The sequence below is a fragment of the Homo sapiens genome, chromosome 14, assembly GCF_000001405.40.
Source record: "Homo sapiens chromosome 14, GRCh38.p14 Primary Assembly".
Classification (NCBI taxonomy): Eukaryota; Metazoa; Chordata; class Mammalia; order Primates; family Hominidae; genus Homo; species Homo sapiens.
The window spans coordinates 101,521,592-101,545,762 of NC_000014.9; the positions used below are offsets into that span (position 1 = coordinate 101,521,592).

General features: G+C 56.9%; 1 long non-coding RNA gene across 2 annotated transcripts, besides 4 other annotated features; it reads right to left on the minus strand.

Annotated features, from left to right (window-relative positions):
• Nucleotides 1-111: 111 nt before the first annotated feature.
• On the minus strand, nucleotides 112-24,075 carry LOC105370673 (uncharacterized). Of its 2 annotated transcripts, XR_944222.2 has the most exons (7): nucleotides 23,523-24,075; nucleotides 22,292-22,409; nucleotides 20,597-20,814; nucleotides 18,372-18,485; nucleotides 3,426-3,546; nucleotides 1,628-1,813; nucleotides 112-1,218 (listed from the first exon to the last, which is right to left on the minus strand). It is a non-coding gene; the product is annotated as an uncharacterized LOC105370673 (long non-coding RNA). The 2 variants fall into 2 exon arrangements; XR_007064344.1 differs by having other exon boundaries at nucleotides 20,597-22,409.
• Nucleotides 679-1,210: an enhancer, noted in NCBI's record as "H3K4me1 hESC enhancer chr14:101988607-101989138 (GRCh37/hg19 assembly coordinates)". NCBI's record gives its function as "activates a minimal SCP1, AML or CMV promoter by ChIP-STARR-seq in naive and primed H9 embryonic stem cells {active_cell/tissue: H9 hESC(naive and primed)}" and the evidence as "EXISTENCE:reporter gene assay evidence [ECO:0000049][PMID:30033119]".
• Nucleotides 1,211-1,741: an enhancer, noted in NCBI's record as "H3K4me1 hESC enhancer chr14:101989139-101989669 (GRCh37/hg19 assembly coordinates)". NCBI's record gives its function as "activates a minimal SCP1, AML or CMV promoter by ChIP-STARR-seq in primed H9 embryonic stem cells {active_cell/tissue: H9 hESC(primed)}" and the evidence as "EXISTENCE:reporter gene assay evidence [ECO:0000049][PMID:30033119]".
• Nucleotides 3,690-4,523: an enhancer, noted in NCBI's record as "H3K4me1 hESC enhancer chr14:101991618-101992451 (GRCh37/hg19 assembly coordinates)". NCBI's record gives its function as "activates a minimal SCP1, AML or CMV promoter by ChIP-STARR-seq in primed H9 embryonic stem cells {active_cell/tissue: H9 hESC(primed)}" and the evidence as "EXISTENCE:reporter gene assay evidence [ECO:0000049][PMID:30033119]".
• Nucleotides 6,190-7,021: an enhancer, noted in NCBI's record as "H3K4me1 hESC enhancer chr14:101994118-101994949 (GRCh37/hg19 assembly coordinates)". NCBI's record gives its function as "activates a minimal SCP1, AML or CMV promoter by ChIP-STARR-seq in naive H9 embryonic stem cells {active_cell/tissue: H9 hESC(naive)}" and the evidence as "EXISTENCE:reporter gene assay evidence [ECO:0000049][PMID:30033119]".
• Nucleotides 24,076-24,171: the final 96 nt, after the last annotated feature.

The following is a 24,171-nucleotide window of genomic DNA, read 5'->3' on the forward strand; positions in this document are numbered from 1 at the left end:
CCCTTGGTCCATACCCCCCCAGACCCCCATGGCCCCAGCATTGTAGCCACAGCTCAGCCAGCCACCCCCGCCAGCCCTCCCACGGCAGGCCTTCCTGGCCATCCCCTGAACCGCGTGGGCCCGTGCTGCCAGGCTGCCCGGACTGGCCAGCTGAGCTAGGGATCATTTCCTGGACCCATTAATCACTGGATCGGGTTCCATGTCGGCAACAATAGCTCAACCCCAGGCCAGTTGGCCTCCGAGTCTGTCGACCCCCGCTCTGATGCCCCAGCTCTCCAGGTCTTGATCAAGGCGGTGGGGTTAAAAGTGGCCATCGTGACTGTGTGCTGCCCACTTACTGTGTGCAGGGCCTGGGAGATCCCAGAAGAGAATGAGGCCAGTGCCCAGTGAGGACCCGGGGGCTCATGTGGGACAGGGAGCTAGCAGGGATGTCTAACACACAGCAGCACCCACAGCTCGCAGGAGGGGCTGATACTCACCAACCCCACTCTGCCGTTACCTCCCTCCCCAAAACCCACATGTCTGATGCCCATGGCCCTCCACCAATAAAATACCGGAAAGGGAAAGGAAGGAAGAGGCTGCAAGTTCATCTGATGTCCAGACACTGGGTGTGGCAAGTTTCCCAGCAAGTGAGCTCACAGTTGGGAGTGGAAGCCCCCATCCTTCGGACCAAGGTCTTGAGAGCTGCAGCCTCAGGTGCCAGCCACGGCCATCACCCCTGCAGTCCACAGCTGCTGCCAGACAGTCTGAACTCCTGAGCGGAGTCTTGAGTCTCCGGGTGGGAGCAGAGCTGTTCTGGATGGCCAGTCTCTTCTAAGCAGGGTCTACAGAATCGTCCGTGGTGGGCAGTAGCCACTGTGGCAGGGCCTCCAGAGTGCAAGTGCTCAGATTTGTCCAGAAGCCCTGCCGGCCTCCAGAATCCTCAGGTGTGGAGGACATGGCATCTGCAGGCCTCGAAGGAGAGCAGGATGGAAGGGCAGGGGTTCCACTTCAGGTGTAAAGCACAGCCCAGGCAAAGCCAGGAGAAGGAGCTGTGCCCAGTTGAGAACCGGTGTTGTGGGCACACAGAGAGGGCTGCGGCTCGTGACAATGTGAGCAGTGGAGTCTGGGGCAGGGTCCCAGCGCCGTGGGCCCAGGAAGATCCCAGGAATGCTTGCACTATCCCGGAAGTGTTCCTTTGGGGCAGTGTGGGGTGGCAGGGCCTTCCTCCTAACAGGGCTGCCACCAGATATGTGCATGTCAGGCCTCAGTGCCCTTGTACTTGGGCACACGGAAGCCCAGAGAGACAAAGCATTTCCCCAAGGCCACCCAGGGCCCTCGCCACAGAACTGGTCCCCACATGTTCTCCCAGATAGACGCTGCAGCCATCTGACCTGGCCATCTTGCTCAGCTTGTCTGAGGGGCAGGATCTCACAGGCAACAACCACACAGTTAGCGACTAAGGCAGTCACCAGCCCCTGTGATGCCTCTGTGATACTTAGAGAAAGGCACCTCCCCCAGGAGGAGGTAGCCCCCCTGGGGCCCACAGGAATGTGGGGATGGGCTGCATCCAGTGCCCTCACCCCTGGCTCAGCACACCCCCACAGTAAGAATCCTGCCACGGTGGCGGCTGTATTTTAATGCTTACCATGCAGCAAGGCCTTGACGGTGCTTCCACAGGGCCCACCTGTGTACTGGATTCTGCTTGTTCAGGAGTGATTATATGAGCAAAGTTTGTCTCCCTGTAAGCAATGTGCAGGAGGATCCGGTTGTGTTTTGCTCAGCTGTGTATCCCAGCAACAAGTGTGCCCAGTAACAAACACTCCACAAACACCTATAGAACGAAGGGTCTCTTTTAGCCCTAATCAACCCCATTGTACAAATGAGGTTGGAGAGTTGACATGACTTGCCCCATTCATGCAGCTGCAAGTGGGGGGGCTGGAACTCCCAAAACCACCTCTTCCAGACCCACCTGAGATCCCTCTGCTGACGGGGGCAGCCTCCCAGCCAGCAAGAAAGAGAGCCCTGTTCTACCGTTGACTTGTGATGTCCCTACTCATCCCTGAGCCTCAGTTTCCCCTTCCATAATACAAGATGTTTCAGCCCAGTCATGTCCAATATCTTTTCCTGAGACTCTGCACTCTACAGTTTGAAACCGGAATACTAAACCTACAGCATGCATGCCCTAGCTTGTACCCTCCGTACTCATGGCAGACATCATCAATCAATCACCAATCAATCTTTCTCACTAAGCTCATATTAAACAACAGAATCCTTCTCCACATAGTGTACAGGGCAACCATTGGATCAAAAATGACACATAAGATAAAACCTCTCAGCTGGCCAACATGGTGAAACCCCATCTCTACTAAAAATACAAAAATTAGCCAGGCGTGGTGGTGCATGCCTGTAATCCCAGCTACTCAGGAGGCTGAGACAGGAGAATCACTTGAACCTGGGAGGTGGAGGTTGCAGTGAACTGAGATCGTGCCACTGCACGCCAGCCTGGGCAACAGAGCAAGACTGTCTCAAAAAAAAAAAAAAAAAAAAAAAAGATAAAACCTCTCTACCATCTCTGGCCTTCCCAAGGGAAGTCTCGGTGAATGGTGACTTCTGACTCCTGCTGGCAAGGAGCCCCAGGCTACACTGCATCCATGCCTGTCTCCCCATCAGACCCAGAGCCCCATGACCCAGCCACAAGACCCAGGCCCTGCATGCACCCTCAGAAAAGCTTGCCAAATTGTTGTCTCTGATGATTCCTTATTTCTGAGTGTGTTTAATGCTAACACCTCCTTAAGTATGAACTCAGATTTCATCTCGTCTGGAAATCCCCCTAAGATTTCCTCTCCTGTGTGAGTTAGGGATCCCTGTTGTGCCTCTTCTAACAGTCCTGCTCTCCTTCAGCTGATCAACAAACACACAGTGTTGTATTTAGGTCGGTGCAAAAATCATTGCGGTTTTTGCCATTAATTTTTTTTTTTTTTTTTTTTTTTTTTTTTTTTTGAGACGGAGTCTCGCTCTGTCGCCCAGGCCGGACTGCGGACTGCAGTGGCGCAATCTCGGCTCACTGCAAGCTCCGCTTCCCGGGTTCACGCCATTCTCCTGCCTCAGCCTCCCGAGTAGCTGGGACTACAGGCGCCCGCCACCGCGCCCGGCTAATTTTTTTTTTGTATTTTTAGTAGAGACGGGGTTTCACCTTGTTAGCCAGGATGGTCTCGATCTCCTGACCTCATGATCCACCCGCCTCGGCCTCCCAAAGTGCTGGGATTACAGGCGTGAGCCACCGCGCCCGGCCTTTGCCATTACTTTCAACGGCAAAAACCGCAATGAATTTTGCACCGACCTAAGTGTTTGAGTCTGTGAAGACACTGCGACCGTTCTCCAAGCCCAAAACCCAGGCTAGAGGAAGGTGAGTGAGCCTGCAGTGAGTGACGGGGCCGACTCACCTGCAAGCATGCATGGCTCATTCATTTATTCATTGACCAGGTGCGTGTTCCTGGGACACACAGGGATTCCACGCAGGCACCATCCTTGACCTCTGGAACTTACACGTTGGTGAGGAAGAGACTATTTAAGAAACAGTTATACATATAATTAAGTGGCCATAAGTATGAGACTGTTTAAGAAGGGGACTGCGAAGGGGTGGCTCCCTGAGGCTCTGATGTGTGGTCAGAGCCCACCTTCTTTCATCGGTCTTCTCAACCACCACTTTGCAGAGGCCCCAAGAGGGGAGCATGCCCAAGGGCCCCCAGCCGGGAAAGAGAGGCAGATGCGGGTACCCAGCCCCCAGCTTCTCTCTGCGGTCAGACCCCACACTCCCCCTCAAGGAGAAGCATCCGGCACCAAGCTGGGCTCCTCTGGGTCTGCCTCCAGCTGAGCTGGGGACCAGGAAGCCATCCCCTGGGAAACAAGGTGCCCTGTGGGTGGGAGTCAGCCCCAGGCTGCCGGTTCTGGTGGCAGGGCTGATTCCTTGTGCAAGGGTGACTTCAGCTCCATGAAGAGGGTGGGCAGGAGCTGGCGGGGGCAGGGGAGAGTCCCCACTCCAGCCACACCTCGCCAGCACAAAAAGGTTGGCAGAGGAGTCTCCCCCGGGCCCCTTCCACCAGTGCCACTGGGTTCGTGCTGCCGTTGCGGTGCAGGGAGGCGCAGCGAGCAGGTCTGACAGCTCCCCCACCCACCCCCCTGCCAAATTGTACTTAATTATAATGATAAATGATGGCAGGCATCCACGACCACATCGCAGAACATGACAAACACTCCACGTCGCCGAGCCAACAAGCCCCGCTCCCCCCACCGCCGTGTTTCTGAACAGGAGGCTGAGAGGGGGTTATCTGAGGCCACGGCTGGCTCCAACGGGGCCTGGCCCAGTCTGGACGCTGCCTGCCGGCTCAGGGTGGGCACTGCTGGGTAGCTGAGGGCCTGAACCCTCGCCCACCCCGTTGTCCCCGAGCATCACCTGCTCCTCCTAGCAAAGCTTGCCTCTGCGCATGAAAAAACAGCCCACCGCCCTCGGGGAGGAGCTGAGCGAACACACTCAGCAGCCACTTTCTGGAGCCACACTGCCCACACAGGCGTCACCAAGGGGACCCTGAAAGGCTCTGGGGAGGCCACAGAGAGCACCCAGGGTGGGCGAGGCCTAGGAGCTCCTCTCCCTGACCGCAGCAAGTCTTCCTCACTCCACAGGGGTCGTGAGCATTCCTGGTACTGCTGGATCGAGAAAGGCATTTATCTCCCCTGGGAGAAGTCCCTGATGTGGATTCCAGCTCTACGAGGTGGAGGAGGGAAGGGGCCTATGCCTTTCCTCCTGATCATTGCCGCAGGCAGGGCTCCGGGACAGCGTGCCGGGGTCCTGGTCCCACCATGTGGCTTTAACATGACTGACCGCCCAGTGCTCTGTGCGGGCGTGCGGCCTCATCCCCACCACTCCATCTGCGTGGTGAGCCTTGCAGCGTCTGAGAGACAATAATAATATGGCAGCTGCCGCGGAGGTGGCCCTTCAGCGGAGATGTGATGTGTCAGGCGGCGAACCAGCAGAGGAAGGGTGACCATGCAGATGGAGCCTGTGTTTAAGGGCTCAGGGTCAAAGACGGCCTCAAACACACACGGGCAGAAATCACCCGAGAGGGGAGGCTGAGTGGCAAGGGGCTGAAGAGGGGGCTTGCCAGGGAGGGGAGTGAGCCCAGGCAGGCCCCATGGGTGGCAGGTGGATGGCAGGAAGGAGCTGCCTCCATGCTGGGGAGGGACAAGAACCTGGCCTATGGAGATGGGAGCAGAGATGGCAGGTGGGGCCAGTGGAGGGCAGTCACAGGACTTGGGGACAGAGGGAGGTATAGCGGGAGGAGAAAGATCTGATTTGCACAACCAGGAGGATAGTGGTTCCACCCGAGAGATGGGGGTGGCCCAGAGAAGCCAGTCAGCAGGGTGTTTGGGCTTCCCAACCCCCGCCACCAGATATCTCAGCACAGGCACCCAAGGGGCAGCTGGGGACACGGGGCAGCCTGGCCTCAGCAGGGAGGCCTTGGAGCCAGCAGCATTCAGCACCTATCCATGTTCAAGTGTGGGCAAGGTGGCCCAGGCAAGGTGAAGGCAGCGAAGACCCAGAGGCCCCTGGGCCCAGCCCCTACAGGTCAGGAATGAACACCCCGAACAGAACCCCGCGCTCTCTGGAGTTCTGGGCTCAGGATGGGCCTGCCAGGGAGAAAGGAAACCAGAGCGTGAGGTCCCAGGCACCCGGAGAAGAGAAGGTTTCAGGAGGAGAGGTGTAGATAACCATACTGAAGGCCACTGAGAGGCCTGAGAAGGGACCCCTGGGTGGCAGGACAGAGGAGCCATGCCAGTCAGGGCCCATAGGAGACATTGGCCCACACAAATCAGGTGACATCAGGAACGCCTAGTAAAGAGGAGGGTCAGGAAGGTGTAAGGAGGGTGAGGGCAATGCAGGGCCTGCTTGTCTTCCAGGGTAGTGACAGCAGGCACAGCTCCTCCCCACCTAGGTAAAGAAGGATGAGGGGAGGGACAGTTACTGGAGGCTGGAACCCAAGGGTGGAATTGGGTGGAGAGGACCCCAGGAGGGTAGGTCCTTTGTTCAGGGGAGCAGCCAGCTCACAACACTCGGGCGGGGGGTGGGGGTGCTGGAGAATCAGTACCCCAACTCACTCTCTACCCTCAGTGTCTGGGCAAACCCAAGCGGAAGCCAGTGGGCCCGAGTGCCCTGCACCACCACGGGGCGACTGGGACCCCCTCAGGACACGGAACAGGTAGCAGGCCGTGTTCTTGGAGCGGTTCCCAGGGGGCACAGCAGCCATGGGCAGAAGCCTGCTGCAGGGAGGAACCCTGAGTGGAAGACCTCGAATGTAGATTCTTCCACAAAGAGGAGGAAGGAGCTAGTAGGAGCTGGGGAGGCGGAGAGTTGAGGGCAGGTTTTGCTTTTGTTTTCTAAGTGCCTGGAGAGCATGGATTCAGGAGCAGAGAGCAGGGACACAGTTGATTCAGAGAAGACGTGGGAGTTGGTGGAACTGACAGCGTGATGAGAGGGAGACGGATCGGGTGGGTCTGAACCCAGCGACCAGGCCACAGGGAGGGCCCAGGTGGGTGTGGTGGTTTGGCGGCAGGTGTGGCAGGGATGGTCTGCATCAGAGGGGAGTTTGCGCCCGCCGGCCCTGCCACCTAGCTCTGTGTACAGGAGGCTCAGGGCTTTCCCAGGGTGGGGTCCTGCCAGGTGGGAGTGGCAGTGAGAGAGCTGAGGACTGGCTCAGCGGGACCCGTCCAGAGGGACTTGACATGGCAGGGCTGGGTGGGAGGGAAACTCAGAGAAGGTAAGGGGGGACGGGGGGCTGAGGTGGCAAGAACCAGGTACAGGGCGTCCTGAGTTGGGGGTTGGGGTATGGCCAGGGGAATGTTGGGGGACCCAGGCTTTCAGAAGCAGAGCACGCTGGTGTTGATGGAGTGTGGTGTGTCATGAGAGGGATGGGGAGGCACACGGGAGGGCTGTGGGAGCCGCGGGGCCTAGGACTGAGAGGCCAGAGTGGTGACTGAGGCACCCACAGGGATGTGGAGACTTGGGGGACAGCCAATGCAGGGTGAGAAGGAAGACTGAGGCAGGGTGGGGGCAGGCTGTGGCTGGCAGAAGGGTGGTCACGAAGCCCCAGGGGAGAGGAAGGCAGGGGTGTGGGGGCTGGAGCCACAGGAAGGTGACCTGGGGAAGGAGGAAGAGGGGTGGGCCTCCCCAGAGGGGCCGGGAAGACGGTGTTGACTTGCAAGGGGGGATGGGGGGGCACATCCAGGCTCCCTGGGCATCCTCAGCCCACTGCACAGATGGGGAGACTGAGGCTCACAGAGGCAGAAGACGAGTGTCCACCCCCAAGGCCTAGACCTGCAGAACCCAGAAATGCCTCTCTGAGACCCCACTTCACACACAAGTCCCCCACTAGATTGTTTCTGCTCTTGTTGGTGGGGGAGGGAGAGGAACACTGGGGCAGGGGGCCAACCAAGGGCCTTTGGAAAGCCCTGCCTGCAGGACCCGGGGGTGGGGAGCATGGCAGGGGGCAAGCCCAGGCCTCGTGGGGGCAGAGAGGGGGGTGTGTCTGTGTGGAGGACAGAGCATGCTGGCTGGGCAGGTGATTGTGAACGCAGGGGTGCCCGGTGTCTTTTGGGAGGAGGTTGCAATTGTGTCTCCAGGCAGTGTGGGCAGCGGGAGGGGAGATGTGGGGGCACGTGGGGTCAGCTGCTGTGAGGGCTCTCTGCAGAGGGCATGGAGGGCCCAGGGTGGCCAGGGGCGCGGGGTGATCTGGGGTGCATCGGCAGCATGCACACACGTGAGCCTGCGTGTGGGAGGAGGGAGGATGCGGGTGGGTGGGAAGTAATTAGCTGGAGCCTGGTCTCCCTGTAGAGCCTGGACGCCAGCCCATGTCTGGCAGCCTCATCTCTGCCTGCACCGCCCCCCACCCCTCAGTCTTACTGTGGCTCCCCCATCTGCCCCAGAGCCCCTGGCAGCCCACCGGGGACAGTCAGGCAGTCCTCACTAGGGTCTTCCCATCACTGCCAGCTGGCATGGGGCAGGGGTCAGCACAGAGATGATGGAGGAGGGCAAGGGAGGCTTCTGGTTTATCTCTGAGGTTCACATCCCCACGCTGGCTCCTAGAAGGCACAGGGGCGCTACCCAACCAGCCCATGATGGTCCACATGAGAAGCCCATGGTGGAGGGAAGAGAAAGCACTAGCCCAAATCACAGAGCGTGTGGGAACAGAACCAGTTCTGCAGACCACCCCTACCCCACCCACACCTCTATGCTCAGGATCTTCTGGGGAATTCAAGCTCCTGGGCCAGCCTGGGGCAACAGCTGGGCTATCTGCCTCAGACTGGTCCTGCCTCTGCTCCTAAGGTCACCTAATGCTTACATCTGCCCCTCTGAGGCAGCTCCTCCCCTCTCACCAACCCCAAAGGCAGCTCCCACCCCTACCTACCTCACAAAAAACAAGGCAAACAAAGAGTTAAGAAAGGCAGGAAGGACTAACCCAGCCAACCAAGTGCAAAGCCGAATGCCCCAGGGAAACAGGAAAGGGGCCCCAGTTCTAGGGCTACAGGGAACGAGAGGTGGGCTCTTCCCCTGGCCCTGGCTCCCAGTTGTCCTGGAGCAAGCACGGGCCTCTGGATAGAGCCAGAGGTCATCTAGGACCTGGGAAGGTCATCTAGGACCTTATCTGCCCACACCCCTCCACTCCTTTCCACTCCATTCTATGTGATTAATATCAACTCAACAACTATTCAATGCAAGAAGCTAAGGTGCATCCCCAGCCATTTCTCCATCTTCCATCATCATACTGCCATCTGCCCATCTGCCCATCTGTCCCTACACACCTCAGTCCATCAATTCATTGGTCTCACCAACCAGCTGGTAAACATCCTGTGATTTATCCAAATGGGTCCATCCATCTCTCTGTCCATCCAGCCTCCCATTCCTGTATATAATTCTGTTCATTCATTGATACAGCCAACCACTGGTCCACTCAGCCATCTGTCAATTCATCCAGTCATCCTTGGATTCCTCCACCTACCGATCCATTATCCACCATCCACCCACAGTTGACTCATCTATCCATCCATCCATCCATCCATCCATCAGTAGATCCAGCCAGCCAGCTATCCAGCCACCCATGTGCCCATCCTGGGACCCTTCGCCCATTCAGTCATCCATGGGTCCAGACATCCATTCATCCACCCACTCACCCATCATGAACATCAAGCACTCGGGCCCCTTCAGAAGTCTGAGGAAGGCCAAAGCCCATTTTCTTCCTGGCCCCCTCAATTGCGGCTGACCCCAAACTGTGTGTCCTTTCCCATCGCCTCTAGGCTTGCTGTCTGTGTACAGAGGTTGTTCTGTGGGTTCAGCCTCGGCTTCCCTCCTGGCCTACCAGACAGAAACCAGGAACAGCAAGTGATCCCACAACCACTTCCAGTGAAGGTGGTGACACCGCCCTGCCCCTGGTCCCTCTGACCGTATCCATGCATGACGAGCAGGGGACCTCCAATCCTCAAAACCTCCTCCCCACTTTCTGTCCATGCCCTGGATCCCATTGTAATGGCATCACATCAGCAATCATCACCCTCATGTATGTGGCACTTACTTGGGCCAGACCCTGTTCCGAGCACTCTACACATATCTGCTTACTTGATCCTGGCCATCACCCAGTCGCCCAGTCATCCTGTGAGGCTGGCAGTGCTACTACCCCCATTTTACAGACAAGGTGCAGACAGGTTAAGAGATGACCAATGATGCTGGTGTTGACTGGGCCCTGCCTACATGCCCGGCTATACTATGCTTCACATACATCATCCACTTAATCCTGGTGGAAATGGGAGTCCCTATTGCTGTCCCCATTTTACAGCTGGGTTCACTGAGTCCCAGTGAGTCATCCCAGGTCACAGACCTGGAAAGCGGGGATGCCGGAATTTGAACACAGCTGTCTGACTCCAAAGCCCATGCGCTTCACCAGCCAGGTTCCTGCAGTTGCTGCTGCAGCTGATATGTGCCCTGGAAATGGGGTTGTGGGGAGGGTGGCTGAGAGCCCAGGAAGCATTGCCCATCCCATCTGCAGGGAACACAGGGGTCCATCGGACCCCGGGTTGGAGGGCTAGGGAGATCTGGGGTCAAAGCAGGAAGTAAAGCCAAGAGGGAGGGAGGTAAGACAGAGCCAGGGCAGAGCGAAGAAGGACACTGCCAGGGGCAGAGTGGTGACGGAGCCAAGGATCTAGCCAGGTGATGGGCAGAGGCCTCACAGAGGGTGGGGGCCCCACAGAGCCCCCTGGCTGGGTCAGGGTCTCAGAACTGAGTCAACTAATGGGCCTACTACAGGAGTAAGAAGTGCAAGACAGGCGCCGGCATTTTCAAAACCTGTTCCAGACCTGAGCACCGTTCGGGAGGTCTCATCAGAGCCCTACCTTGGGAGCAAACCCAGGCAGGGATGCCTCAGGTGGCATTCAGGAGGCACTCAGCAGTCACTGGGTACCACGGATGCCTGGCCTCCCCAGGGCTGTGGGCATCTGGAAGTTGCAATAATTAAATCCCTCCTGATTATTAAAACAAGACATAATACTGCAGAACCTTTTGGGAAATGAAGGAAAATGTGAAGAAGGAGAAAAACTCATCTGTGACTTGTGCCCAGGAACGCTGCAGGCTGCTGAGACGTGGCTGCTGGGATCTTAGGAAACGGCTCACTCAGAACCAGCCCGGAGACTCCGCCAGCCCAGAAATATGCTCGTTTCCCAGAGAGGGCTGTGTAGACACCTCCTCAGGAGAGGCAGTCTCCACCCAGGCCTCTGCTTTTCACATGCCCACTCATTCCTTCACAAACATTTATTAAGCACCTGCTGTGTGCTGGACTTTGGCCTGCCGGGGGATCTCCTGGCCAAGACAGGGGTGGGGATGGTGACAGGCATCGTGGTGAGTGGTGGCTTCCAAGCAAGCAGTTTCGAATCCCTGAGACCTCATACGGTAATGTTTTTGAAGGTGTGATTAAGTCAGGATCTTGAGGGTAAGAGGTGATCCTGACTTGTCGGAAAGGGGCCCTAAACACCGTCACCAGCATCCCTATGAGAGCCAGGCAGAGGGAGAAAGAACTGTGAAGACAGGCAGAGACTGGAGGGATGTGGCCACAAGCCAAGGAAGGCCAGCAGCCACCAAAAGCTGGAGGAGGCATCCTTATGGGTTCCCCTCCAAACCTACCAGGGTGAGCACAGTCTGCAGACACCTTGACTTGAGCCCAGTGAAACTGACTTTGGACTTCTGGCCTCCAGAACTGGAAAAGAACACATTTCTGTTGTTTTAAGCCTCTAAGTTTGTGAAGATTTGTTAGTGGTTGTAATAGTCAGGGTTCTCTAGAGAAACAGAACCATCAGGCTGTCTAGGGAGACAGGTTGAAAGAAATAGAAAGAGATTTATTGTAAGGAATTGGCTTTCCAGATTATGGAGACAGGCAAATCCTGAGATCTGCAGGCAAGCCAGGGACCCAGGATTGCCGATAGTGTGGTTTCCATCCAGAAGGCCAGCAGCCTCGAGACCCAGAGAGGCTGATGTTTCAGTTCAAATCCCCACCCCCACACTGGCTCCTAGAAGGCCCAGGGGCGCCGCCCCATCCAGCCCATGACAGCCAAGTCCAAAAGCAAGAAAAAGCCAATATCCCAGCTCAGAGACAGACAGGAAGCATTATCTCTTACTCAAGGGAAGGTTGGCCTTTTTGTTCTATTTAGATCTTCGGCAGATTGGAGGAGGCCCACTCACAATGAGGAGGGCAATCTACTGAGTCCATAGATTCAAATGGGAATCTCATCCAAAAACACCCTCACAAGCACCCCTGGAATAATGTTTGTGTGAATATCTGGGCACCCTGTGCCCTAGTCAAGTTGACACATAAAAACCAGCCATCAAAGCAGCTGAGGGAAACGAACACAGCTTCATGTGCCAGGATAAGGAGTTCTGCCTTGGTCCTGAGGACAATGGGGAGCCATAGAGGAGTATCCAGCAGGGGGTACACCAGGGTGAGGCTGGGCAGGAGGGAGATCCTGTGTGTCGTGGCTGAAAGAGAGATGGGGAGGACGCCCGGGCCTGACAGAAGGGTGGAGAGACTCTACATACATCTATCTAGGAGGTGGGATGAGCAGGTCTGTGTGGTGAGGGAGGGAGAGTGGGGGTGACATGCAGGTTCCTGGGGCAGGTGCAGGCAGATAGCACGGGAATTGTGGGTTTTGCTTTGCAGGGGTGACCAGGAAACCCACAGCATTCACCTCTCCACCCCACATCTGCACAGACACCCATCACGGGGATGTGCTAACCCGGCGAGTGTGGCCACCAGATACTGGCCCATGCGTCGGGACAGCCACCAGCCCCGGCCTAGGAGTGCTAGCCCTTGAGGGCGTGACCTTAGCCAAGGCCCAGATCACCTTAAAACTCAGGACTGGGGGTGGGGGGGGCACTGGGCCTGGGGGAGGAGAGGCTGAAAAGTGTCTTTTTTCCTGAAGAAGACAGAAATCCTCGCCTCACCTCAGCTGTAATAAGCTAATTTTCTCTTCTAAATGGGGCGTAATCAAATTCAGCCCCATAGCCTCATTTCCAGGCAACTTTATTCATTGTTATTTTTATTCCAAGAATTCCTTGGCATTTTCTGGGAGCCACTGAAGTGTTTAATAGCTGCCTAAGTAACGGCGTGCCCTCTTTGGAGCAAAACTGAGGAGCAAAGATTCCTAACTGGGGAGGTCCTGGAAGGACATGTGAGGTCAGCTGGCCCAGGTGTGGGAATGAGGCCAGGGTGGCAGGCGCCAAGGGGCACCTGGCTGGCTCAGTGGGCAGGACCCAGGCTGGGCCGGGGCCTCTAGGTGGTTCTGAAAAGCCTGAGAGCTTGGGCAGAGGAAGCAGTCAGGGGCCTCTGGGTTGGTAGGGAGATGAGGCAGAGGTGCCATACCTGCAATGCAGAAAGTAGGGGGGTCCTCAGAGCTCCCACTCTCCATGAAGACAGGGCTCCAGGGAACAGGGGGCTAGCATCTGCAGCTCTGAATCTCCATTAAGCCCAGCTTTGGGGACCACAGGCTTCTTGGGGTGGCCCCAGCCCCTAGCGAGGAGTCGCCAGGCCTTTCCCACGCCTTCTCAGAGGCCAGACCACAGCACAGGGTGGAGGAGACCCTGTCCTACTAAGAGTGGGACAAGGTCTGCACCTCCTCTGTGTCCAGGACAGGGACACCGGGCAGCAGCAGAGGGCCAAGGATGAGCAGACAGAACAGAGGCAGCACCAGAGTCCAGCAGGGAGGCAGCCACCATGGTCGGCAGGGTCTGGGCTGTGGTGGGGGGACAGGGGAAACTTCAAGGCAGACCACACAAAGGTGGCGAGTCCACCAGGCCGAGGGGACACTTGGATGTCCACAGCTTAGATACAGAGGAGGGGGCAGTGGGTGGCTGAGATGGACTAGAACTAGGCATCAGGGGAGGTTGATGGAACTTTGAGGAACCTGAGGAGGTTGGAAATGCTGGAGCCGAGAGCCGATGGGGCAAGAGGTTAGGGCTCACCTGGCTAGGGCTGCCCAGCCACTGCCAAACTCCATGTCCCCTGACCATCCCCTCTGACACCTGTGTCCAGAGACAGGGCGTCCACTGCCCCCAGGAGTATTTTTTAGCTTCTCCGGGTCCCCTCCATCCCCACTGCACTTGGCCACCAAGCCCTCCTGGGCACTGTAAGGAGCTGTGAGACCACGGTGGGTGCGGCCAGTATGGTTCTCATTCATGTTGCTTAAATCATTAACTGGCTCTTTTGTAAGAGTCATCTGACGTTCAGGAAGTCTTTTGATGCCTTTCAAAAGGCTTTTTTATAAGTGTTTCTAATCCTTTTCTCTTAAAAACAGGAAGTTACACTTTGCAACCCTAAACACCAGAAGGTCAGAATTTGGTTGGCGAGGCAGATGCCACAGGCTCCGGATGGCTGTTAAATCTGCCCAGCCCTGGCCCAGTTCTCGGACTGAAGACACAGACAGGGGCCCAGGAGGAAACGGCTGGGCCCAGACCACCTCGTGGGTGATGCCTCCCCAAGAGAAGATGTGGCACACAGGTCTTCTCCAGGGCCCCTCCCCAGACAACGGACCCCCCGCTGCCCAAGCCAGAAAGCCGGGTGTCGTCCTCAGAGTCCCGTCTTCCTCAGCCCCACCCCCTGCTGCTGCCCTTTCTACTCCCTAGATCTGGCCTCTCCCTCCCTGCCCACTGCCTGGAATGGTGCTCCAGGGCCTTCACTTGCCTGTACAGGGCCCCCCAGGACTGGGTGGGGGGCTGCTTCTCTCTCCTTCCTTCCCACCTTTCACTCTCAGCTCCAACCCCAAACCACACTGTGGTCGCCTGGCTATGCCGTACCCTCACACACGCTGTTCCTCTGCCTGGACACCCGGCCTCCGCTTTTCCATGCAGTGAACTCCTACTCACCCCTCAGGGGCCCCTCCTCTAGCAAGTCTTTCCTCTTCTAGACTCCCTTTCCCCTGGATCCCAGGGCCTAAGTGCCCTGCCCTGGGCCTCCTTAGGAAAGAAGGAGGGTTGTATCTACAGCCTCTGTGCCTTTCACATCTTCTCTTCAACATGTCTGTGGGAACTGAAGCAACCAGCTCAACTGATGAATCTTAGCAGGAAACTATCTCACCAAAAGAACTTGGCCTCCACTCCATCTGTGCCCACGCCACCCCCACCCCCAGAGACCAGCCACTCTTGGCCACATTCCCCAGGGCCAGGCCTGCTGCAGCACCTGCTGTGTAGCAACTCTGGTCCAGCCATCCTTTCCAGGGTGGTGGGAACCCAGCCCTGCCCTGGAAGAAGCAGCCCTTTCCCCTGTTGCAGGATCCAGGCAAGTGCTGGGGCATCCAGGTCAGCCAGGCCAGCAGGGAAAGGGGCTGGAGGATGCGCAGCTCTGCCGAGGACGGTGTTCAGTATGGACAGAGCTGCCCAAGGCAGTGAAAGGGGGCACCCCATGCCCAGAGGTGTGCCTGTCCTGCCCCATACACCAGAAACGCAGTAAGCATGCATGCCCTCGATAGGAGTTGGATTTGAAGAACTGCCAGCTCCCTTCCAACTCACGAGTTGATTACCTGTTCATTCATCAACAAGGAGGTGCTCAGCCCTGTTGTGATAGATCAGAAGTTGGACCTGGTGGCTGGGGAAACAGAGGTGGACCAGGGACAGTGCTGCCCTCCAGGAGCTCCCAGCCCATGGACTAACAGACCCAGAAATAAACGATCTGTCTAGAACGCTAAGCTCCATCTTGTTCACCACTGTACCCCACAATACTAGGCACAAGGGCTGGCATACAGTAGGTGCTCAACAAAGGTCTGCTGAATGACTAAGTGCTGTGATCGAGGCCCCACCAGGGGCTGAGGAGCCCCAACAGTATGTGGAGGAAGGAAGGTGAGGAGAGACCTCCTGGAGGTAAGGTCCCCAGGCTGAGCCCTTGGCATTCCCAGCTAATGGATCTGCTGGTCCAGGGCCAGCCAGGAGGCAAGGAAAGCAGGGTGCAGCCCCGAAGACACAGGTGGGCTGAGCAACATGACTGGGATTCTGTGGAGGGTGCTGGGAGACCCTGGGGTGCGGGGCCAAGGAGCAATGGGACCAGGTTTGTCTTGTGGAACAAGGATGGGCTGCAACATGTGGGAGACTCTGGGGCTGGGGACAAGGACAGCCCTGAGGGGATGCAGTGGGTTTGGCTGCATGTGGCAGGCCCAGAATGACAGTGGTTTAAAAAATAAGTTTACCTCTCACGGAGAAGTTTGAGCTGAAAGGTGCCCTCTGCTCCCCCAGGTCACAAGGGCCTGGCCTCGTTCCTGTTTCGGGGACTTCCCAGAGCGGGGCTCCTCCTGGGTGGGTAATCTGCTCCTACCCCATTGGACAGACAGAGTCACATGGCCACATCTAGCTGTAAGGGATGCTGGGAAAGGAATCTGCCAGGGCAGCCAGGTTCTGAGAGGAATTTTGTTGTTAGGGAAGGCGAGAGAGAGGCTGTTGAGGGACAACTGTCAGAGGCTGTATCATGGGCACTGATTAGGGAGCACCTCGTGCTTTCCCTCTGGAGGGGAAGCATGGGGCCTGGGCCGAGACTGGCCAGGATGGAAGGCCTCTAGAAGGTCCCTGAGTGGGGCTGGGGTGTGGTGGGGCTGCCCATGAGATGAGGAGCGCCAGAGCTGTGCAGGCAGCGTGGGATTTGGCAGAGGGAGGGCTGCGGGTTGCAGAGGTGAGTTGGGCCTTTTTGAGAGCGAACTGCCTAGGGAACAGCCCTTGGAGGTGTCCAGGTGAGGCTGAGGTGTGGGACCCACCTGCAGGCAGAGGGCTGTGCTAAGGGTGGCTGGGCCAGGAAAGGCTGGAGAGAGAGGGGACCCTCCGGGGTTCACAAGAAGGAGGGTAAAGTGCAAAGGGGCCTCCCGTAGCTCCAAGGAAGAGGCTGGGACCACTGCGAGAACGGGGAGGGAAACCGTCCCTGAAGACAGTTTCCAGGAGGACAGAGGAAGAGGTAGAGGCTGGGTGGGAGGGGCAGCAGTGTCCCCTTCTCAGTAAGTCCTCCTACAACCTGCCTGAGAGCTCCCTCTGGAAGAGGTGGGGAGGAAGACAGGAGGGGAGGCCCCCAGATGCAGGCCGGGAAGCAGAGCCATCGACCCACCTGAGAACAGCCAGCCCTTAGCCTGAGGGGCTGGGACAAGGTGTATAGCCTGGTTCACTCCTTGGGACCCCGAGACCCCACTCCCAAGCCTCAACATCCCAGGCCCCTCCCAGGTGACAGCTGGGCTGGGGAAGGGGTTCCAGATCAGCCATCTCTTTCTCAACTCATGGGGGAGGGGTGCTAACCCCCAAGTGGGATCCTGTACAAAGGCTTCATATCCACAATCTTATTTGACCCCACAACAATCCATCCTACAGAAGAGGAAACCGACGCCCAGAGTGGTAAAAGGCTGCCCACGGTGGCCCACTTAGGCAGTGTGGAACCCTTGGCCGGGTGGTGGCACGGGATGAACACTCCCATTCCCCTCTTAAAGTCAGGGAAGCAGAGGCTCAGATAGGTGCACAGCCTCCCTCCAGGTCACACAGCAGGTCAGGTCTATGCCAGTGCTGGCGCGGTCACCCCAGCCGCTGTCTTTCTAGCAGCACCCTAGCTCTGTGCCATGTGGCTGCCCCTCAATAACCAGGAGAACAGAGCAGCCTGGGTGAAAGGGAGGGCCGAGGGCTTCAGGATCCTTCAGGATCCCCCAGGGAAGCCCAGCTGGTCTGAGAACTCCATAGGGGTTCATCTGGGGACCAGAGAACTGGAGGGGGGCTGTGCACCTTCTTCTTTACCCTACTGCTCCACTCCCCTCCTGCCAACAATGCCATAGCCTGGGCTGCCTCCACCACTCCCCATGCAACTCTGGGGGCCTGGCCTGGCCACAGACCACCACTTCCTGGAAAGAGTAACTGTTCCTGGAAAGCTGGAACTGCTGCCTCCCCAGCCCAGGTCGCCTCAACAGTGTGCAGAGGTCAGCTCAACCGGCAGCCCCGGGCCCCTCTGGGATCCCTCACATTTCCAAGAAAATTGCAAAACACGTAAAGAACAAATGGTCCTCATATCCCTCCCTCAGTGGCTTAAAAAGGAGTACTGGGGATCCGGGAGAGAGCTGGGAAGATGCCACAGGAGGCTTCCTGATCCCCCAACCAAGTGCATCCCCAGGCATTCTGCAGCCAGGACACCCTGGGAGTGTGCAAGGTGGGCAGGGGAGGGCAGGGAGGAGGCAGCCAGCTCCGGGGGTGGGCACCTCCTTGGGGGAGGGTGGCTGAGACTCTGACGCACTGGAACCTTCCTGCAATGGAATAGACAGAGCCTGTTCCCACCCTCGGCTTCTACCTCTCCCAGCCACAGGCCAGCCTCAAAGGGCAGGAGCCAGGATCCATTTACCCTGCGGGGATGGGGGAGAGCAGCTCTCAAGGATGGCCTCTGTTCTGGGGCCTCCCCCTGTGTAAGCCCTTCCCCCTGAGGGCAGGCTGCACCCTGAGCTCCACGTCCCAAATGGGACTGGGCAACCGGACCAGAAACTCCCAGATGCTTAGGTACAGCACACGCCCTCGTGGAGCCTCCGTTTCCCCACCCGGATAGTCCAGAATTTCCCAAAAGGAAGTAACAAGACAATTTTGAAGGGTATCCAGAAAAAGTTGTTTTCTATTTCAATAGTTATTTATCTATATGGGTTGAGAAAAATACATACATAACTAACATATCAAACCCAGGGCTTCAGAACCTATCACGTAGGTCATCAGTATTTAAGTTTAAAAAGCAAGTTGATTTTTTTAAAAATTAAGCAAATATTCAAGTTGACGATACAAGAATACAACATAAATCAAGTTGTGAGACTCCGCTGACCTGTATTTGTTGAGCAACGACTAAAATCTCCCCATGTCTACGTCACTGTTATTTTGCATCTTGTCGTGGTAGCCAACCTGGTTGCCTGACTCACGCCAGAGACCACGCAGCAGCCTGAGGAAAGACGTTCAAAGCAGAGAGAACAAAGAACTGAGCCCTCTTGGAGCCTTGCGGCTCTGCATTTGCTGAAGATGCGGCCCTGGAGTGCTGCTGGTGGAGCACCTCGGAACAGGACAAGAGGGCTGAACAGGACAGGGCCAGGTGGTCCAGAGCCCACCAGCCTGGCCTGCCTGCCCCCTCCCTGTGGTGGCCCTTGAAGCGTCTATTCATTCTGTGAAACTGTCTGTGTCTGCAGAGGCTGGAAGCCCCCCAAGGGTGAAGCCTCCCAGCACTCACCAACAGCTGAGTGCTGTTATCAGCCTCCCAGCACTCAGCGCCCACCTGGCAGAAAAGGTCTCAATGGATCTCGCTGAATAAATGAAACAGGGAGTCTGGGGACCTGCGAGCTCTGCCTCCAAATACCCAGTGGGCAGAGGGTCAGCCATGTTTGGAGGGCACCAAAGAGAGCCAGGAGAGCCTGGGTAGCCAGGGATCGTGGGCTCTCTTCCCTCGGAAGTGTGGGAGCAGAGGCTGCCGGGGGCAGGGCTGGGAGCTGAGGCCGAGAGTTGCAGCTCACAGCACTGAGTAGGACCAGGGAGGAAGCAAGTGCGGGGAAGCGGCCCCAGGATGGGGTTGGGGCAAAGATGCTGCCACTATTACCTCCCCACTCTGGGGCTCCCATGAGATCTCCCTGTCTGTCCCTCCTCAGCCGCCAGGGCCTCTGGGGCCACAGGCTGGTTCAGCTCAGGGCAAACTACACCTGAGAATGAGCAGAGAGGCCATCCTCTCAGCTGGCGATCCTGGGCCCCAGTTGCCCTCAGGGGACCCGCTGCCCTGCCCCGGGCCCAGCTTGGCCATATTGTCTTCTATTGCTCAAGAAAAAATTGTCATCTTGGGCTGGGGGTGCTATCAGGCCCCCATAATCCATAGATTCAAGTCCAGAGCCCGGAGCAGGGCCTCTGGGGCCCTCCCAGTGAGCTGGCTGACCCCACCCTGCTCCTGGCCCACACTCCAGGCTCCAGACCCCAGACCCTCAATAGGTCCTCAGGGCTGCCCGAGGCCAGGCCCTGCTCCCAGGAACTCACAGAATCGAGGACAGAGCCTCACGCTTCAAATCATGCCGCACAGTAGGTGCCTGGAGAAGTTGGGGAGGGAGGTGAAAGGACCCTGCAGACGGCGGCTCCACGGCAGGGAATTCCTGGGAGTGCAGCTGGTCTGCACAGCTGGCTGGTGAGGCAGCGGGTGCAGGCTCCCCAAACACTGAGGGTGGGCACAAGGCTGGCAGAGCCGCACCTGCACTCCTCGACACACTGCTCTCAGCTAGGCCCTGCACTCCCCTCCGCAAGTTCCCTTCCAGCTCCTGACATGCTTATCCCTGCTCCCAATCACACAGAGCCATCTGATTGGCTTAGCTTGGTTGGTTGGTCTATTGGGCAGAGTCCAGCCCTCAAGTCAGGTGCCCATCCTCATCTACTCAGAGGCCTCCCCTAGCTCTCCGAAGAGCCCACATCTCCTGGGTGGTCAGGGTAGGTACCAGGCAGGTGAGGGCGTGGAGGGCGCAGTGAGTGGAGCTTCTCAGTGCCTGAGCTGGGCCAGAGCTGATTGACTTTGATTTCTAAAATGACACCCGGAGTGACACATCCGCAGTGGCAGAGGCAGACCTTGGTGAGCCTGGCAGGCATCTTTCAACTCCTCTGCTCCATGATGGAGTGGTTCTGGGTCTCAGCCAGCAGTACCTGTAGGTGGCCCCTGACTCCTGGCTTCTGAGTCCCTTCCCTCCCCTGCCCATCCTGGCCCCCAGCCCCTCCCCAGGCCAGCCCCCTCCTCCCAGCTGCAGCTAGTGCTTTCATTCACCCTCTGAGCATTCATTCACCCAGCCCTTTTTAGGTAAGAGGCTGGTTCCAGCCCTGAAGGAGAGGAGCCTCTCCCTGCCCCGTGGAAGGGCATTAGCAACAGCCATGTCCTAGCCCCTCCACCCGCTCAGCCTCCAGGCTGAGGCAGCCTGGCCAGGGAGTACTGACCACATCCACATCTGGCCATGGCCTTCCTCTTCCTAATGCCTCCCATGGCTCCCCATCACCCTCAGATAAGGCCAGACCCTGTGGCTAGACTTGTGTGTGCGTTACCTTCCATGGCCAAAGGGATTTTGCAGAGGTGAGTAAAGTAGGGATCTTGAGATGAGAGACGATCCTGGGTTATCTGGGTGGGCCCAGTGTCATCACAAGGCTCTATTCAGTGTGGAAAGGGAGGCAAGACAGCAGGAGTGGCGTCAGACTCCAGGGCGTCGCTGGCCTTGACATTGAAAGGGGGCCATGGGTCAAAGAACACAGGTGGCTTCTAGAAGCTGGAAAAGCAAGGGAATTGATCTCCTCTGGAGCTTCCAGAAGGAACACTGCCTTGCCAATCCACTGTGGACTTCAGACCTGCAGAACTGTAAGGTCATAAATTGGTGTTGTCTTAAGCCCATTTGTTTGAGGCAATTTGCTATTACAGCAACCATAGGCAACTCCTTGACGGGTCCCCAGGGCCTTTCTGATTCAGCCCTGCTGATGTCCCAGCCTTGGGCGAGCCCCTCCCCTCCCCCTTGCAGTGAGCTCCCTCGTCCCCGTTCCCGCTCCCGCTCCCCTACTTCCTGGGCTCACCGCACCTTTGGCCTTCGCTCAGGCGGTCTCCTTGGCCTGATACAACCCTTCCCAGGGCCTGGCCAGCAGCTCCTCCCCCACACACCCATCCCAATGTCTCCTCCTCAGGAAGGGCCCCCATCCGCTGAGGGCTTGGCAGTAACCATCCCCAGGCCCTGGATCACCACCCAAGACTCAAGTTCTGCCTCATCATGGGCCACGTGCCCACCCGGGTCAAGATGGGGTGAGGCCCCTTAACTGATGGCCCTGCCCTGATCTAAGGGCCAAGGGAAGGGCTAGAACTTCAGGAATGCAGAGTTAACAGGTGCCCCTGCCCTCTCTGGTCCACCTCCCAAGGCTCGGTCACCTCGTCAGAGTAAGTCTCGCACTGGCACCCCTGTGTGCCCTCACCCAGCTATGGGTTCCTGAAGGGTGGCTCCTGGGTCAGAGTGGGGCCTGTTGCAGTTTGGACTCCCCCAGAGCAAAACCTGAGACGAGGATGTGGGTGCAGGTAGTGAACCCAGGAAGCTCACATGAGAAAGTGAAGACGAGGAGGAGATGGGGGTGGGGGCGGAAAACCAAGAGAGGTGCACTAGGCAAGTGGGGCTCAGCCACTGAGGACCCTCACATGGGCCCACTCGGGCCCCTGGTGGCTGAGGGTGTCACCTGCTGACACAGACTGCCTGGCATGTTCCTGAGCAGGCTGGGCAGGGATGCGTCCAGAGGCAGGTGCTGGAGTGAACCAAGGACACCTTGCCAGGAATCGTCACCTGCAGCTGCAGGTCAGCTCAGAGGCTGAGGTCTCAGGAGGGGCATGAAACTCCCTGCAGGAAGACAAGGCCCTAAGTCGGGAACAAAAGAGGCTGGGAGTGTGGATTCCCTGAGCACACGCACCACAGACCCACAGAGGCCTCCAGAAAAGTCCCTACCCTCTCTGGGCCTCAATTTACCAGCTGTGAAAGGACCACCTCATATCCTCCCAGAAAAAGAAAGAGGAGAAAAGAATGATGGTGAAGATGAGAGACTGGAACTCTTGTGCACTAAGTTAGTGGGGATGTGAAATGATGTGGCCATTACAGGAAACAGTGTGGCAGCTCCTCAAAAAAGTAAAAATAGAATGAGCCTATGACCCCGCGATTCCATCTCTAGGTACATGCCCAAAGGAATCGAAAGCAGGCTCTGGAAGAAATACTTGCGCACTCATGTTCTCGGCAGCATCGTTCACAACAGCCAAAAGGTGGAAGCGACCCGAGTGTCCCCAACAGGTGAACAGATCAACAAAATGTGGTAAATCCATAAAATGGAATATTATTCAGGCCTGAAAAGGAAGGACATTCTGAGACATGCTGCAACACGGTTGAACCTTGAGGACATCAAGCGAAGTGAAACAGGCGAGTTACTAAAGGACCAATCCTGCAAGATCCCACTGATGAGAAGCACCTGACGTAGTCAGACTCATAGAGACAGGAAACGGAACGGTGCTCGCCGGGGGCTGGGGGAAGGGCAGAAGGGAGAGCTGGTGTTCAATGTTTCAGTCCTTCAGTTTTGTACAATGGAAAGAGTTCTGGAGATTGGTTATCCAATAATGTGAATACCCTTAGCACTACTGAGCTGCTACTTAAAAATGGCTAAGACAGTAGCCAGGCTCAATGCATAATCTGGTCACCCCAGCTACTCAGGAGGCTGAGGCAGAAGGATCTTTGAGCCCAGGAGTTCAAGCCCAGCCTGGGCAACATAGTGCTCATTGTTTTTATCTTAAAAAATGGATAAGACGGTAAATTTTATGTTACATGTATTTTACCACAATTAAAAATTTTAAAAAGGTAGTGGCTTTGAACTGCACTGTCCACTCAAACTAATTTTGTACAGTCAAGGAACTATCAGTTGATCACTGTATTACACCGAAGCTGAAGGGAACCCCATTCCCAAAGCAGGAGAAAGCAGGGCTGCCCAATTTGGAGTGGGGGTGTGTTAGTTCGTTTTGTGTTGCTATGAAGAAATACTGAGGCTGGGTAATTTATCAAGAAAAGAGGTTTATTTGGCTCATGGTTCTGCAGGCTGTACAAGCCTGGCCCCAGCATCTGCTTGGCTTCTGGGGAGGCCTCAGGAGGTTTTTACTCGTGGTGGAAGGCAGAGTGGGGAGCAGGCACACCACACGGTGAGAGAGGGAGCAAGAGAGGAGGAGGGGACGCCCGGCTCTTTTAAACAACTAGGTCTGCCACGAACTGATAGGGTGGGAACTCACTTATGACCGTGGAGAGGACGCCAAGCCTTTCGTGCGGGATCCACCCCCATGACCCAAACACCTCCCACCAGGCCCCGCCTCCAACACTGGGGAATCACATTTCAGCATGAGATTTGGAGGGAACACACATCCAAACCATATCAGGATGGGACCTCAGAGCCCACCTTCTCAGCCCCTCACTCTTACCTCCGCACCGGGTGACCCTTGGCACTTGGAACTCCCATCTCCACACCTCTCCAGCCCCTTCCAGGCAGGTGGGTCTTTGAATCGAGGGCTCCAAAGGTAGACAGATGCATCCTTTCCTGACTTTCCTGGCCAGAGTTGGAGGAGCCCTTTGTTCTCCCCTGGAGGTTTCCGAGGGATGAGGTCTGGCCCACAGAGCCAAGAGGTATGGGTACAGGGGAGATGAGGCAGATGGGGCAGTAGGTGGGACTCACCTGAAGGGGCAGCCGGGGCTAAGGGAGCACATGGGCAGCCTCTAGGGGCCCATCTTTCTGCAAAATTCAAAACTCCTAGAAGGGAAACCCCGCCTCCTCCTCTACAGCCATTTCCAGGGATTCCAAGGTCGTTCATTTAAGTGTAAGAAAAGTCCTGGTGGAAAATATTTGTTGTTACAAATGGAATGTTTCCATTTGGTTTCATTAAGTCCACCCCCTCCACCCCACCCCACTCCGGGGAAAGCTGGGGATTGCAAGGAAGAGGAGGGTGGAGGAAGAGGGGTGCTCCCAGTAAAGCCATTTCACCCGGAGAATTCAATCTGGAGAGGAACCAACGTGCAAGAGTGCCTCTGTCGCCATGCCCTTATGTGTGTGATGTCATCCGAGCCTCATTCTGC